Source organism: Homo sapiens, chromosome 2 (genome assembly GCF_000001405.40).
Source record: "Homo sapiens chromosome 2, GRCh38.p14 Primary Assembly".
Lineage (NCBI taxonomy): Eukaryota > Metazoa > Chordata > Mammalia > Primates > Hominidae > Homo > Homo sapiens.
The window spans coordinates 135,247,584-135,265,909 of NC_000002.12; the positions used below are offsets into that span (position 1 = coordinate 135,247,584).

The following is an 18,326-nucleotide window of genomic DNA, read 5'->3' on the forward strand; positions in this document are numbered from 1 at the left end:
GTGCAGTGTCGCATGAAGTGGGAGGTTAGACTCCTGTACATATCCCTAGGAAAGAGGCTGAATGCAGGTGGATAAGCAGCAACAGCCTGCAGGCCCCATTTCCACGGCAACTCACTTCCATGGCACCTCTAAAATTCCAATCAGCTACCAGAAGTGTCATTGCACCTCCCTAGGAAAGGAGGTCCTGAGGGGAGGGGCTAGTCACCATGTTTGCTGTTTGGGCACCTTAGCTGTTCCAGTCTTCCAGCTTTGGAGAGTCCAAGCGAAAGGGAGTGTGGAGGGTGGAAGGGATCCCCCAGCACAGCACAGCTGATCTACCAAAATGTGGCCAGACTGCTTTTTTTAAGTGAGTCCCCGATCCCATTCCTCCTCACTGGACAGAACCTCCCAACCAGATCACCAGCTACCTCCTTCAGGTGCCTTTGGACCAGCAACAGGCCTGTACCTCCCTGGGATGAAGCTCCTAGAGGGTGGGATAGGCTGCCATCTTTGCTGTTTCACAGACTTCACTGGTGATACCTCTAGGTACTGGAAAATCTGAGGTGACTAGGGACTGGAGGGGCCCTCAGCTACTTTAGTAGCCCTACAGAAAACTGGCCAGACTGTTACATGGGTGCCCATTCCCATATCTGCTCATTGGGTAGGTCCTCCAAGCCTGGGGCTCTAGCCATCCGCCACCAGAGCTATTGAGCCAGTAGCTGCTCGGCAACTCCCTGTACAGAGCCTCCAGGCCCAAAAGTATAAAAGCCCTGGGAGACAACATAGGCAATACCATTCTGGACAAACGAATGAGCAAAGTTCTCATGACAACACCAAAGGCAGTCTTAACAAAAGCAACAGTTGACAAGTGGGATCTAATTAAACTTAAGAGCTTCTGCACAGCAAAATAAACTATCAACAGGGTAAACAGACAACCTACAGAAAGGAATAAAGTATTTGCAAACTATGCATCTGACAAAGGTCTAATATCCAGCATCTATAAGAAACTTAAACAAATTTACAAGAGAAAAACAAAAAATTCCATTAAAAAGTGGGCGAAGGGCCTGGCATGTTGGCTCATGGCTATAATCTCAGCACTATGGGAAGCCGAGATGGGTGGATCACCTGAGGTCAGTAGTTTGAGACTAGCCTGGCCAAAATTGTGAAACCCTATCCTTACAAAAACTACAAAAATTAGCTGAGCATGGTGGCGTGCACCTGTAGTACCAGCTACTCAGGAGGTTGAGGCATGCAACTTGCTTGAACCTGGGAGGCGAAGGCTGCAGTGAGCCAAGATTGCACCATCACATTCCAGCCTGGGTGAGAAAGCAAGACTCTGTCTCAACAACAACAACAACAAAAAAAAGTAGGCAAAGGAAATGAACAGACACTTCTCAAAAGAAGACATATATGCGGCCAACAAGTATATGAAGAAAAGTTCAATATTACTGATCACTAGAGAAATGCAAATCAAAACCACAGTGAGATACGATCTCACACCAGTCAGAATGGCTATTAAAAAGTGAAAAAAATAACAGATGTGGGCAAGGTTGCAGAGAAAAGGGAACACATACACTGTTGGTGGGAGTGTAAATTAGTTCAACTATTGTGGAAAGCAGTATGGCAGTTCTTCAAAGGGCTAAAAGCAGAACTACCATTCGAACCAGCAATCCCATTACTGGGCATATGCCCAGAGGAATAGAAATCATTCTACCATAAAGGCACATGCACAGGAATGTTCACTGTAGCACTATTTGCAATAGCAAAGACATGGAATCAACAGAAATGCATGTCAATGACAGGTTAACTGAAGAAAAAGTGGTACTTATATGCCATTGAATACCATTTAGCCATAAAAAAGAATGATATAACGTCTTTTGTGGGAACATGGATGGAGCTGGAGGCTATTATCCTTAGCAAACTAATGCAAGAACAGAAAACCAAATACCACGTTCTCACTTATAAGTGTGATATGGTTTGGCTGTGTCCCCACCCAAATCTCAACTTGAATTGTATCTCACAGAATTCCCACATGTTGTGGGAGGGACCCAGGGGAAGGTAATTGAATCATGGGGGCCAGTTTTTCCTGCGCTAGTCTAGTGATAGCAAGTAAGTCTCATGAGATCTGATGGGTTTATCACGGGTTTCCGCTTTTGCTTCCTTCTCATTTTCTCTTGCCGCTGCCATATAAAGAAAGTGTCTTTCGCTGCCTGCTGTTGATTCTGAGGCCTCCCCAGCCATGTGGAACTTTAAGTCAAATTAAATCTCTTTTTCTACCCAGTCTCAAGTATGCCTTTATCTGCAGCATGAAAATGGACTAATACAGTAAACTGGTACCAGTAGAGTGGGGCGTTGCTGACAAGATACCTGAAAATGTGGAAGCGACTTTGGAACTGGGTAACAGGCAGAGACTGGAACAGTTTGAAGGGCTTAGAAAAAGACAGGAAAATGTGGGAAAGTTTAGAACTTCCTAGATACTTGTTGAATGGCTGTGCCCAAAATGCTGATAGCAATAGGGACAATAAAATCCAGGCTGAGGTGGTCTCAGATGGGGATGAGGAATTTGCTGGGAACTGGAGCAAAAGTGACTCTTGTTATGTTTCAGCAGAGACTGGAGGCATTTTGCCCCTACCCTAGAGATTTGTGGAACTTTGAACTTGAGAGAGATGATTTAGGGTATCTGACAGAAGAAATTTCTAAGGAGCAAAGCATTTAAGAGGTGACTTGGGTGCTGTTAAAGGCATTCAGTTTTATAAGGGAAGCAGAGCATAGAAGTTTGGAAAATTTGCAGCCTGACTATGTGACAGAAAAGAAAACTTCTCGGGAGAAATTCAAGCCAGCTGCAGAAATTTGCATAAGTAGCAAGGAGCCTAATGTTAATCCCCAAGACCATGGGGAAAATGTCTCTAGGCCATGTCACAGACCTTCATGGTAGGCCCTCCCGTCACAGGCCAGGAGGCCCAGGAGGAAAAAGTGGTTTTGTGGGCCAGGTCCAGGGTCCCTGTGCTGCGTTCAGCCTAGGGACTTGGTTCCCTGCATCCCAGCTGCTCCAGCCATGGCTGAAAGGGGCCGACGTACAGCTTGGGCTGTGGCTTCAGAGGGTGGAAGCCCCAAGCCTTGGCAGCTTCCATGTGGTGTTGAGCCTGTGGGTGCACAGAAGTCAAGAATTGAAGTTTGGGAACCTCCGCCTGGATTTCAGGAGATGTATGGAAATGACTGGATGCCTAGGCAAGTTTGCTGCAGGGTTGGGGCCCTCATGGAGAGCCTCTGCTAGGGCAGTGCAGAAGGGAAATGTGGGGTTGGAGTCCTCACACAGAGTCCCTACTAGGGCACTGCCTAGTGGAGCTGTGAAAAGAGGGCCACCTGTCCTCCAGACCCCAGAATGGTAGATCCACTGACAGCCTGTACCATGCTCCTGGAAAAGCCATAGACACTCAATGCCAGCCTGTGAAAGCAGCCGTGAGGGAGGCTGTACCCTACAATGCCACAGGGGCAGTACTGCCCAAGACCATGGGAACCTACCTTTTGCATCAGTGTTACCTGGATGTAAGACCTGGAGTTGAAGGAGATCATTTTGGAGCTTTAAAATTTGACTGCCTCACTCGATTTCAGACTTGCATGGGCCCTGTATCCCCTTTGTTTTGGCCAATTTCTTCCATTTGGAATAGCTGTATTTAACCTGTACCCCCATTGTATCTAGGAAGTAACTAGCTTGCTTTTGATTTTATAGGCTCATAGGCAGAAGGGACTTGCCTTGTCTCAGATGAGACTTTGGACTGTGGACTTCTGGGTTAATGCTGAAATGAGTTAAGATGTTGGGGGACTTTTGGGAAAGCATAATTGGTTTTGAAATGTAAGGACATGAGATTTGGAGGGGCCAGGGGCGGAATGATATAGTTTGGCTGTGTCCCCACCCAAATCTCAACTTGAATTGTATCTCCCAGAATTCCCATGTGTTGTGGGAGGGACACAAGGGTAGGTAATTGAATTATGGGGGCCAGTCTTTCCTGCGCTATTCTTGTGATAGTGAATAAGTCTCATGAGACCCGATGGTTTTATCAGGGGTTTCCTCTTTTGCTTCCTTCTCATTTTCTCTTGCCGCCAACATGTAAGAAGTGCCTTTCTCCTCCTGCCATGATTCTGAGGCCTTCTCAGCCATGTGGAACTGTGATTCCAATTAAACCTCTTTTTCCGCTGGGCATGGTGGCTCACACCTGTAATCCCAGCACTTTGGGAGGCTGAGGTGGGTGGATCACAAGGTCAGGAGTTTGAGGCCAGCCTGGCCAACATGGTGAAACCTCGTCTCTACTAAAAATACAAAAATTAGCTGGGTGTGGTGGTGTGTGCCTGTAGTCCCAGCTACTCGGGAGGCTGAGGCAGGAGAATTGCTTGAACCCAGGAGGCGGAGGCTGCATTGAGCCTGGATCGTGCCACTGCACTCCAGCCTGGCGACAGAGCAGGATTCCGTCTCAAAAAAACAAAAGAAACAAACAAACAAAAAAACCCTCTTTTTCTTCCCAGTCTCAGGTATGTCTTTATCAGCAGCATAAATGGACTAATACAAAATGGGAGCTAAATAATAAGAACTTATGAACACAAAAAAGGAAACAACAGATACTAGGGTCTACTTGAGAGGGGAGGTTGCATGAGGAAGAAGAGCAAAAAAGATAACTATTGGGTACTGGGCTTAATACCTGGGTGATGAAATAATATGTACAACAAACCCCTGTGACACATGTTTACCTATGTGTCACCTTCCCATGTGCCCCCAAACCTAAAATAAAAGTTAAAAAATATAAAGAAAAGATTAAAAAGATTATTTTGTAGAAAAAAATCCCATGACATCAAAAGTAGTATATGCAAATGCCTTTGGGAATGGCTGTCTCTTCCAATAAGGACAATGAGAATTTATAGCAAAATATCATATAACATATAGATTATTAGAATGTAACTCAGGGGGTTAAATTAATCCACTTATGTCTAGTGTGTACCTATGTACCATTATTTCTCTTTAAGCTCTAGGGCTGAGCTCCAAATGACTCTTGGACAACAGCTGAGGTTCAGAGACACCTCAAACTCAAGATGTCCTGAGTGAACCCTTCACCTCTGTCCTGAAGCCAGCTCCTCTTCTACCACCACAATCTTTTGGCTCTTCACTGCTCATCCAAATTAACTATAAAGTCCTCTGCATGGAAATCTCCAGTTTTAGACTAAATTAGATCTCTTTCTGTTGTTTCAATTTGTCCTCTCCTTATCTACCTGCATGCTGTTGGCTGTGGTGTTTTCCTTAAGTGCCTGCTTCAATCCCTTCTACTCTTTTTGCACTGCTGCTATTAGATAGGATTCCACTCAGGTCTCATTTTATTGATTCTACTGCTGAAATGTCTGGCATTTTTTGCCTCTCTATTGTCACTACCACTATTAGGAATTCAGGGTGGTTATAGTGCCTCAAATCCCCTCTAGGAATCCTTGACAAAGGGGCTTTATACATACCAATAGCCTCATGAATAAAAAGGAACTGGCTTTATTAGTAGACCTGTAAGTGCCTGATAGTACCAAAGTAAAATTCTGGTAAAAGCTATATTGAAGAACCCAGCTAGAACCCAAGGTCAAAAGTAGACTTCCTAACTTGTCAGCACAGATCTAGCGGCAGAGGTGGTGGTAGGGCCTGCCAACGCAGGCTTGTTTGCTGTGCTCACAGTGGAAGCAGAAAGCAAAGGAGAGGCATGCCTCCTGGGGGAACAGTAACTCACCTACCTTGAACTGTGACCCAACCAAGTTCTCAGGCTCTAAAAATCAGGGGGAGAAAGCCTGGACAGGGAGTGGAGAGAGAGAGAGAGATCCCTTCACCATAGGCTGAAACTAGATGGGAGACTATACTATGCTTTGCTTAACAACGGAGATACAGACACACTCCGAGAAATGTATCTTTAGGTGATTTTGCAGTTGTACCAACATCATAGAGTGTACTTCACAAACCTAGATGGTATAGCATACTATACACCTAGACTACCTGGTATAGCCTGTTACTCCTAGACTATAAACCTGTACAGCAGTTACAGTACTGAATACTATAGGTAACTGTATCACATGGTGAGCATTTGTGTATCTAAACATAGAAAGGGTAATACATTGTGCTACCATGTTACTATGGCTACAACCTCACCAGGTGATAGGAACTTTTCAGCTCCATTATAACCTTATGAGACTTCCATTGCATATGTGATCGTAGTTGACCAAAACATTATTATGTGGTGTATGACTGTAATCCATTCCCAAGTAGCACTGCCTCCAAGAACTTCTGTCTCTTCACCCTTCCATTTGTTTTTCACACTACCATTAGGACTATCTTTTGAAGACAGATATCTGATCATGTTATTTATCTGCTTAAAAACATCTCATGACACTACATACTTCCAGAATCAGGTCTCACTTTTTGGCATGGCAAGTGTGAGTTCCTCTCCAACTGGTTACTGCTAAAGTTTTAGGCTTCCTCTCCTTTAACTCACTTCTCATGTGCCCTAAGCTCACATATTTGTGTAGATTTTGCATTCTCAGAACAATTAATATTTGTTCATATCTCTGGGCTTTTAGGCATGCTTTTGGTGTTCCCTCTGCCTGAAATTGGACCTACTGCCTCTGAATTCATCCTTCAAAATCCAGCTCAGATATTTCCTAACAGAAACTTTCTCAAATGCTCCAGGTAGTTATTTATTCTGTCCTGTGTTCCCAGAGCCTGGCTTACATGTCTCTATTTTCATATTTATCGTATTGCATTAAAATGATTTGTTTACAACTGTTTTTTCCTAACTAAAGAGTAAGCCCCAAAAGAAAGTTAGCTATTTTCCTTATCTTCGCATTCTCAAAATTTAGCATATAGTCTTTTAAAAAAAAAACAGCTTTGGCCAGGTGTCGTGGCTCACGCCTATAATCCCAGCTACTTGGGAGGCTGAGGCGGGAGAATCACTTGAACCTGGGAGGCGGAGGTTGCAGTGAGCCAAGATCATACTACTGCACTCCAGACTGAGCAACAGAGTGAGACTCAGTCTTGAAAAAAACAAAACAAAAAACAGCTTTATTGAGATATAATCCATATACCATAAAATTCACCCTTTTATAGTGTCCAATTCAATGATTTTAGTATATTCAGACTTTGGCAACCATCACCCCTGTTTAATTGTAGAACATTTTCTTTTTTTTTTCTTTGAGACAGAGTCTTGCTCTGTCGCCCAGGCTGGAGTACAGTGGCGCGATCTCAGCTCACTGCAACCTCCACCTCCCGGGTTTACACCATTCTCCTGCCTCAGCCTCCCGAGCAGCTGGGACTACAGGCACACACCGCCACACCTAGCTAATTTTTTTGTATTTTTAGTAGAGATGGGAGTTCACCATGTTGGCCAGGCTGGTCTTGAAATCCTGACCTGGTGATCTGCCTGCCTCGGCCTCCCAAAGTGCTGGGATTACAGGTGTGAGCCACCGCATCCGGCCGTAGAACATTTTCATTACCCTCAGAAAGAAACCCTATACTCATTAGGCAATGTTAAATAAAATGTATGTGAAGCCATTGTTTTAGTCTCAGCTCCTACACTAGGACCCAAAAGACCAGACCAAACCAGGATGGAGTAACACATGCTAGGTGCCACTTAATCAAACTGAACTTAAAAACAGGCCAGTTTAGAAAAACAAAACAAAACAACACACACACACACACAGACACACACACACACACACAGCCCCCAGGGATTCATGGCAATCAAAAGGGGCCCAGTCAACCTGAACCAGCATGATGAGGAAGTTCTCTCTGCTTTACCCCTACAAAGAAAATAATTTTGAAACTATTAATCTGCTTTTCCTTCCTTGTTTCTGCTTCCTTTTCTGTTCCTTGTTTCTCCTTTTCTGCCTATAAAACTCACCCACTCTGCTCTGCTCAGCTTAGTGAAGCATCATTCTAGTTCATAAACAGGATGCTGCCCAATTCATGACTTGCTAATAAAAACAAATCAGGGCCAGGTGCAGTGGCTAACGCCTGTAATCCCAACAGTTTGTAAGGTTGAGGCAAGAGGACTGCTTGAGCTGAGGAATTTGAGACCAGCCTGAGCAACATAAGGAGACCCCCATCTCTACAAAAAATAAAAAATTAACCTGGCATGGTGGCATGATGATAGTCCTGGCTACTTGGGAGGCTGAGGCAGGGGGATCACTGGACCAGGATTTCGAGGCTGCAGTGAACTATGACCTCTCCACTGAACAATCCTGGGCAATAGAGTGAGAGTCTGTCTCTTAAAAACAAAAACAACCCTCCTCAAACAAAAAAAACCCAATCAGATATTTAAAGGTCAACTCATTAAAATTTTTTTTTTTTTTTTTTTGAGGCAGGGTCTTACTTTGTCACCCAGGCTGGAGTGCAGTGGAGAAATCACGGCTCACTACAGACTCGACCGCCCTGGGCTCAGGTGATCCTCTCACCTCAGCCTCCTGAGTAGCTGGGACTACAGGCATGTGCCACCATGCCCACCTGATTTTTGTATTTTTTATAAAAACAGGGTTTTGCCATGTTGTCCAGGCTAAATTTTGTTCTTTGACAGCAGTCACTGCCCATCCTCTCCTTGAATCTCTTAGCAAGTACTAGTCTATTTTGTGTCTCTATGGATTTGCCTATTCTGGCTAATCTGAATAAAAAGAGCCATACAAGAAGTGGCCTTTATGTCCTGCTTCTTTCACTTAGCAAATTTTCAGGGTTCATCCATGGTGTAGCATGTATCTTTTTTTTGTTTGTTTGTTTTTGAGACAGAGTCTCACTCTGTTGCCCAGGCTAGAGTGCAGTGGTACAATCTCAGCTCACTGCAACCTCTGCCTCCCGGGTATAGACAATTCTCCTGTCTCAGCCTCCCGAGTAGCTGGGATTATAGGCGCAAGCCACCAGGCCCAGCTAATTTTGTATTTTTAGTAGAGATGGGGTTTCTCCATGTTGGTCAGGCTGGCCTCGAACTCCCAACCTCAGGTGACCCACCCGCCTCAGTCTCCCAAAGTGCTGGGATTATAGGCGTGAGCCACCAGGCCCAGTGCATGTATCCTTTTTAAGGCCAAATAATATTCCACTGCATGTGTCAGAGGCATTTGAACCAGAGCAACTCCATCTTGAACAGGGGCAGGGTAAAATGAGGCCAAGACCTGCTGGGCTGCATTTCAAGGATGTTAGGCATTCTTAGTCATAGGATGAGACAGGAGCTTGGCAGGACTGGTTTCACAACACACAGGTCCCAAAGACCCTACTGATATAACAGCATGCAATAAAGAAGCCAGCCAAGACCCACCAAAACCAAGATGGTAATGAAAGAGACCTCTGGTCATCCTCACAGCTCATTATATGCTAATTATAATGCATTCACATGCTAAAAGATATTCCCACCAGCACCAAAAGAGTTTACAAATGCCATGGAAACATCTGGAAGTTACCCTATATGGTCTAAAAAGGGGAGGAACCTTCAGTTCCAGGAACTTGCAACCCTGGAAAACTCATGACTAATCTACCCCTTGTTTCACATATAATCAAGGAATAACCATAAGCATACTCAGTCAAGCAGCCCATGCCACTGCTCTGCCTATAGAGTAGCCATTCTTTAGTTTCTTTACTTCTCTAATAAATGTCATTTCACTTTACTTTGTAGACTCACCCCAAATTCCTTCTTGCATGAGATCCAATAACCTTCTCTTGAGGTCTGGATCGAGACCCCTTTCTGGTAACATATAGATTAACCACACTTTGTTTACCCATTCATCAATTTATAACTTTTTTTGGTCTAACTTTTTTTGGCTACTATGAATCATGCTGCCATAATGTCCATGTCCAAGTTTTTGTGTGGACAGGTGTTCTCAATTCTCTTGGATGTACGATTGCTGGGTCATATGGTGACTTTATGTCTAACATGTTGAGGAACTCCCAGATGGTTTTACAAAATGGTTGCATCATTTTACATTCCAATCAACAATATATGAGTCTTCTAATTTCTCTACATCATTGCCAATACTTGTCTTTTTTATTTTAGTCATCCTAGTGGGTGTGATGTGATAATCTCATTGTGGTTTTGACTTGTATTTCATATAATCTTAATAGATGTTTATATAATGAATGATCTTTGAATGTCCTGTATGTGGCTCACATCCCAGAAACTTGGCTAAACCAAATTGAAGTTTTTCAATGTTGTATTCATTCCACATACATTTATTGAAGGCCCATGATATGCTAACTCTAATGCACCTAGTATGGATTGGCAAAGTTATGAGAACAGACCTTGAAGCAGAAAGGCCTGGCACTTTCTGCCCCAGCTGTGCCACTTATTGGCTGTATGACCTCGGGCAGATTATGTAACCTTTCTCAGATTTAGTGGGGCAAGTTAATAGTATCTTCCTCATGATGTTGCTCTGAAGGTTAAATAAGATCATGAGCCTGGAGTGGTAGCTCATGCTTGTAATCCCAACACTTTGGGAGGCTGAAGTGGGAGGACTGCTTGAGCCTAGGAGTTCAAGACCAGCCTGGACAACATGGTGAGATCCCATCTTTATTTAAGTAAGTTTTTTTTTTAAAGAAAGATCCTGAATGTTAAGGGCTTAGCACAGTGGCTGCAAGAAATAACAACTCAATAGATGTTAGTCATTATTATTGAGTGTATTAAAAGTCATAAAAGTAAATAAGACAAATGTCTAATAATAACATAATGTTATGTAAGCTATTGAGACAGTGAAGTAAAAAGGGCTCCCTGGAGAATCTCCAACCTGCCTGTGCATTGGGAGGATGTGGTGGAGCCTTGGGGAGTTAGCACCCATTGCAGGAAGGAGGAGCCTGCCCTCTCCTGTTCCTGGGTGGTAAAAGGGGATTCAATCTGTGAAGCGCAAAGCCTGCTAGCAGGACTCTCACCTTTGCTGAGAGTCCCTGTTTCCCTTTTATTTCTTTTCACACAATAAATGCTGCCCTTCTCACCCTACAATGTATCCGCATGCCTAAATTATCTTGGTCGTGTGACAAGAACCCGGGTTTTCCTACAACACTACGACATAGACATTTGTATGTCTCTATCTGTAACAATGAGGCTGCCCTCATGTCCTTATCAATTAGGCTATTATGCAGACTAATTACATAATAATTACAAAGTGCTTTGAATTCCTAAAATATATATTAAATAAATATTCTCATTTAAGATGTGCTGCCCCAAGAAACCAGTTCTTTACCATATTCAGAAAGAAGAGATTTTGGACAAGAGGGATTTAGATTTCACAAGTGCCACAGCTCCTGTGGTCAACTTTCTTTTTGCTGTTACCATGTATTCAACTGGACAATATGCAGGAAAAAAAGTTTATTTTTTGTATATACGAGACATTTTTAACTTGCACTTTTTACCACAACAAAGCAAACATTTCATACAATGTTGGCATTTAATTTAAAAACGTGTTTTCTTTTTGAATTTTGAGAACTTTGTTTCGTTTTTGTTTGTTTTTGAGACAGGGTCTCACTCTGTTGCCCAGGCTGGAGTACAGTGGTGCAATCATCCTCCTGAGCTCAAGCAATCCTCCCACCTCAGACTCCCAAGTGGCTGGGACTACACGTGTGTACCACCATGCCCAGCTAATTTTCTTATTTTTATTTTTTTTTAATGAGACAAGGTCTAGCCATGTTGCCCAGGCAGGTCTCAAACATCTGGGCTCAATGGAGACTCAGCCTCTCAAAGTGCTTGGATTACAGGCAAGAGCCACCGCTCTGGCCTGAGGGCATATTTTAAAATTTCATAATAATGCTAAAGAGCTCTCCTAACTACATACAATCTTTTGCAGCAGACAAGCAACCATTCTACATATTTTTATTTATTTATTTTTTGAGATGGAGTTTCGCTGTTGTTGCCCAGGCTGGAGTGCAAAGATGCAATCAATTTCAGCTCAGCACAACCTCCGCCTCCCGGGTTCAAGCGATTCTCCTGCCTCAGCCTCCTGAGTAGCTGGGATTACAGGCATGTGCCACCACGCCCGGCTAATTTTGTATTTTTAGTAGAGATGGGGTTTCTCCATATTGGTCAGGCTGGTCTTGAACTCTCGACCTCAGCTGATCCGCCCGCCTCGGCCTCTCAAAGTGCTGGGATTACAGGCGTGAGCCACTGCACCCAGCCAGAAAGCAGACATGTCCTAACCACAAGCAGGACTCATTACCCATACTAAATTAGAGTCCTTTTTTTTTTTGGCTCACCTATGAATCATTTATGCACCAAGATTCTCTTAGGATACTTTATAGTTTATATATAATGGATGAAAGGGGGCTTAGACGCCATCTAGTAATCTAGTGACTCAAATGGCTAGATAAATAATGTTGCTGATTATTGGAGAAAGGAGCAAAAGAGGAAAAGAAAAGGCCCTAAAGAGGTTAAGGGAAGGGCCCCAATTTCCCACAGCTAGAGCTAGAGGAAGAGATACTTGTTAGATGAAGGCAGCAAAATGAAAACCAGAGAGAGAAGGAGGCTCCCTATTTGAACACTCCACTCAGCTTGCTTTATTCAGAAACAGCCTTTCGTTGCTTAGAAATAACATACACTAATATTATCTATACCATTCTCCTGCCTGGAGATGACCTACATTATCACTCAATGGAAGCCACTGTAGAGAAATCAAAACACCTCAAAGCCAAAATAGTACTTAGAAGTCAGACACATTCAGATGTAGAAGAAAGGAAGAAGCAGTGGAAATTGGACTGACCACATCTTAGGCAGTGACCCTGGTGATGGACTCCAAGGCAAGACTGCTTACTTATGGGACAGCCAACTGGGCTGTGCAAAAGTATCTTTCCTTGTGGTGGTGGAATTTTTTCTTTTCACTTGAGTTGGACTTCAATTTGAGTTTCATTTGGGTTAATAAATACTGTAATTTCTTAAAAAATGTAAATACATCTAGCATGGGTAAAGAATTGTGACTCATACATTTGTGTGGATTAGTTTCATTTAAGGTATTATTCAAATACTTGAATAATATATATTCAAGTATATATATATTCAAGTATATATAGTATATATGTACTATATATACTATACTATATGTACTATATATGTACTATATATACTTGAATTTATATATACTTGAACATATTTATATATATACTTGAATATATTATTGACTATTATATATTCAAGTATATATATCAAGTATACTTGAATATATATAGTATATACAAACTATATATATTCTATATACTATATATATTCAAGTTTATAGTATATATATACTATATATTCTATATATATACTATATATATTCAAGTATATTTGATATATATAATATATACTATATATACACTTGACATATATATTGTATACTATATATAAAGATTTTGTATTTTTGTATTTTTATTCTATATATACACTTGATATATATATTATATACTATATATGTAGTATATATATACTTGAATATATAATATTCAATAATATACTGAAATATCCACAAGCTGTTAAAAACCATCCAATTAGAACTGATAAAAATTTTTGAGTCAAAGAAGTTTTTGATGTCAAATGGCAAGTTTGGTTAATCTAGGAAAGTTTAATTGAAAGTTGAAAGTTTTCTAAAAATGGAGATGCTGGAAATGTCCTTTAAAAGGCTTTGTAAATGGATAAAAAATAAATCAAATTCATAGGAAAATTCCCGTTGGAAATGCTGAAATTCTGGCAATGTTCAGAAGAAAAATAAGTTAATCAGTAGACTAAATTTCCTTAGTACCTGCCAACAAATTGAACATTTCTTAAACTGCATGAAGCTGGGAGGGTATAGACAGAGTGGTGAGAGGGCACACCCACCTAAAGTCAATCAAAGCACACTTCACTTGTTGGCCATACAATAAATAAGCAAATACCAACAAAGCAAAACTAACCAAAACCAACAAAAGATCCCTACATTCTAAGATTCCAATTTACATCAAACTGCGTCTGTATAAAGACAAGTATTGGAAAATCTATAAGACAACACTAAACTATGAAAGACACATACCTAACTCAAGAAAGTAAAATTTGGTATGGGTGATTTTTTAAAATTGTGTATACAAATATATATTTTTCTTCAGATAAACTTTTGAAAACAATAAACATACACATATGTAGGAAGATTTATTTCAAATTCTTAATATCTAGCTTAGAAATGAACTTGTAAACACAGTTTGATAGGAAATTTTAGAGAAAGAACAGCTACAAATCATAGATTTATTTATATATTTTTAAAATAGCTAGGATTTCTATTGACTTTATTGTAGACCAGAATATAATATAATAAGCATTGTTGAAAGAAACCTTGGCTGGGCACAGTAGCTCATACCTGTAATCCTAGCATTTTGGGAGGCTGAGGTGGGCAGATTGCCTGAGCTCAGGAGCTGGAGACCAGCCTGGGCAACAGGGTGAAACCCCGTCTTTAATAAAATACAAAAAATTAGCCAGGCGTGGTGGCGTGTGCCTGTTGTCTCAGCTACTTGGGAGGCTGAGGCAGGAGCATTGCTTGAACCTAGGAGGTGGAGGTTGCAGTGAGCCAAGATTGTGCCACTGCACTCCAGCCTGGCGACAGAGTGAGACTCCATCTCCAAAAAAAAAAAAAAAAAAAAACAAAGAAAACTCTTTTTTAAATTAAAAGAAAATCTTACAAATAATCTAATTTTTAGCAATATTTGACGGAATTACATTCTAATATTCTAGAAAAAAATTGTACTAGACCTCCAAATAAGATAATTAAAAATTTAATACAATTCTACATAAAATAATGTATTTTTATGCAATTAAACTTCACATTAAATTTTTAATTTTGTATTATCAGAAAAATGTAAATATTAATTTTATTCCTATAATTTCTGATCAGTTCTTTGAAAAATTAAAATTAAACTCTCTATAACTTTGACACCATATTACCTCAAAAAGACTAGAAGGCCAAGAGTGGTGGCGGTTCATGCTTCTAATCTCTGTGCTTTGGGAGGCAGAGGTGGGAGGATTGCTTGAGGCCAGAAGTTTGAGACCAGCCTGAGCCACGTAGTGAGACTCTGTCTCTATGAAACATAAAAAATTAGCCAGAAATGGTAGCACATGCCTGTGGTCCTAGCTACTCAGCAGGCTGAGATGGGAGAATCTCCTGAGTCCAGGACTTTGAAGCTGCAGTGAGCTATAATCATGCCACTGGACTCCAACCTGGGTGATAGGCAGAGAGCCTGTCTTTTAAAAAAATAAGAATTAAAAAAAAAAAAGGCTAGGAAACAGCAGACATTATAAATTACAAATTTCTCTAATATATTATTTCTTATTAAATTTATAAATAATCTGTTATAAGGTGAGACTGGGGGATTTTACATATAGCATTTGTTAGAGGTGAGACTGGGGGATTTTACATATAGAAATGTATAGTGAATATAACAAAAATCTATATATCCACCATTCAAAATTTACAAATATTAATATTGTACTTCTGATCTTTTTATAAAATAAAAGAAATAAAAACATTTTTGCTGAAGTTGCTATCACATTTTTATTCTTCCCCATATCCATTCTTCTCTCCCAGAGGTAACCAATTTTATAAATTTGATATGTATTCTTCCAATGTGTGTTTATGTTTTACTATATATATGTACTCATAAATATAGAATATACTGTGTGTGCTATGTGTTTTTAAAGCAACTTTGTGTTTTCAAGATCTCATCCTGTTGATACATATAAATATAACTCATTCACTTTAACTTCTAAATAGCATTTTATAAGATATGACAATCTACATATCCATTCTTCTATTGATGGGCATTTTGGTTGTTTCCATTTTTTTGCATTCTAAAAAATGACGCAGTAAAGATATTTGTGCATGTATCCTTACATATGTGTGAGAATATATTCTGTATATTGAAAAGAGCCTAGAAGCAACGATAGCCCAGAGGAACAACAACAACAAAAATCCTAATTTCTAAATATCACTCCACAGTAAAGGGAGTAAGTGCTCCTTAAAGAAATGGCCAATTCCAAGTCTGGAGCAAAAAAATTTAGGTGAACCTGTTATATATTGTGTGCCAGAAAGCAAGGAAGCACTCAGAGAATTATAAGGATGTGTTTTTTTAAAAAGGAGCCAGTTTAAAGGAGCTTTCATTAGCCAGATCTAAGTTTAAAAAGAAAAAAAGGTAAAGGATTATAACACATTAAATAATAATAATTGAAACCCCTAAGTTCATAGTAATTTTTTTTTTTTTTAGACAGAGTCTCACTCTGTCACCCAGGCTGGAGTGCAGTGGCGTGATCTCGGCTCACCAAAACTTCCAGTTCCTGGGTTTAAGTGATTCTCCTGCCTCAGCCTCCCAAGTAGCTGGGATTACAGGCATGTGCCATGACGCCCGGCTAATTTTTTTTTTTTTTTGTATTTTTTTAGTAGAAACGGGGTTTCACCGTGTTGGCCAGGCTGATCTCGAACTCCTGACCTCAACTGATCCACCCACCTCAGCTTCCCAAAGTGCTGGATTACAGGTCTGTGAGCCACCACGCCTGGTCCATAGTGGTATTTTTTTAAAGTGGGGAGGTAAATGTCTTCTTTACAGAAAAATGCCAACTAATAAATATAGAAGCAATGATGGAATTAGAAAAACCATTTCAGGCCGGGCGCGGTGGCTCAAGCCTGTAATCCCAGCACTTTGGAAGGCCGAGGTGGGCAGATCACAAGGTCAGGAGTTCGAGACCAGCCTGGCCAACATAGTGAAACCCTGTCTCTACTAAAAATACAAAAAATTAGTCAGGCATGGTGGTGGGCACCTGTAATCTCACCTATTCGGGAGACTGAGGCAGGAGAATCGCTTGAACCCGGGAGACAGAGGTTGCAGCCAGCTGAGATCATGCCATTGCACCCAGCCAGGGCAATAGTGCAAGACTCTGTCTCAAAAAAAAAAAAAAAAAGAAAAGAAAAGAAAAGAAAAACCATTTCAAAGGTGATTCATGCAAATATCATTAATGAACGCTAAAAACACTCAGTAAAAAGTTTTGGGAACGGGGGGTCACATGCTTTGAAAGTGTTATACCGCTACTTACTTACTAATAAATAGTAAAGGGGAAAATTATCTTTACAATTTGCCTTATTTTAGTGAGGTAGAGCTTCTTTTCATGTTTATTGGCTATTCAGGTGTCCTCTGATGCTCATATTCTTTGCCTATTTTTTTTTTTTTTTTCTGAGACAGAGACACAGTCTCACTCTATCGCCCAGCCTGGAGTGCAGCAATGCAATCTCAGCTCACGGGAACCTCTGCCTTCAGGTGGTTCAAGCGATTCTTGTGCCTCAGCCTCTTGAGTAGCTGGGATTACAGGCAGACACCAACACACCCAGCTAATTTTTGTATTTTTAGTAGAGACAGGGTTTCACGATGTTGACTAGGCTGGTCTCAAACTCCTGACCTCAGGTGATCCGCCTGCCTCAGCCCCCCAAAGTGCTGCAATTACAGGTGTGAGCCACCATGCCCAGCTCTTTGCCTATTTTTCTGTTGACTTGTTTATGCTTTACTAATTGAGTTGTATAAATTCTTCATATACTTTGGACATTGTAATGCAAATATCTTTACTGAGTCTGTGATTTATATACAGGACATTTTGTATAACAAAACCTGTGATTTCGATATACTCAAATATCTGAATCTTTTTCTTTACTATTTGCACATTTTAAGGCACATTTAATATACCTTTCCCTATTCTCAGTGTCATAAAGATAGCCTCCTATATTTTCTTTTGAACTCTGAATTTTATTCAGTTTGTTTATCCGAGGAGCTGAACAGTAAGTACTAAAACTGTTGGAAAACAATATTAATTTTTGGCTCTAAGAGGGTTTCCAGCTTTATGTGAAGTCTCCTTTCAACACCATAAATAATTGAGAGTTGCTATTTAAAACCATACATACAAAGTTATAGTTTCAGGATACTAAAAAAAATAGAAAAGAGTAAGGCATATAATCTTACGTGAGTGAACAAAGCTTCCTTCCTTAACTCTTCAGAACTGTCATTTGGAGTCCAAGCTTCAGCAAACTGCAGGAAATCCCATTTTTCCTTATCACCTTCCTCAGCCTGAATTTTTTCTTTCCTACCGTTCAGTGTGCTCCCTGTAACTTGAGCCTACAAGAGGAAAAAGTAAATGAATTTTTGAGCAGTTCACCTCACAGCTGAAATTCACTAAGTAACTTGATTTTGCATTTAAATCATAAGCTACCCACTAAGAAAATCTTACTGTTCCAACATATCATGGGCTTTAGTAATATAATTATCTTTGTAAACCAAAAATAAAATTATAAGCCTCCCAACCAACTTAATGGATTCCTCCTCTTGGCCAAGAGCATTC

General features: G+C 40.6%; 1 protein-coding gene across 3 annotated transcripts in view; it reads right to left on the bottom strand.

Annotated features, from left to right (window-relative positions):
* Positions 1-18,326, bottom strand: part of ZRANB3 (zinc finger RANBP2-type containing 3) — a 334,250-nt gene that overhangs the window by 50,615 nt on the left and 265,309 nt on the right. For all 3 annotated transcript variants that reach the window (NM_032143.4, NM_001286569.1, NM_001286568.2), the window contains one exon: positions 17,951-18,103. In NM_032143.4, coding sequence (NP_115519.2) covers positions 17,951-18,103 — 153 coding nt within the window. The remainder of the gene's footprint in view (positions 1-17,950; positions 18,104-18,326) is intronic.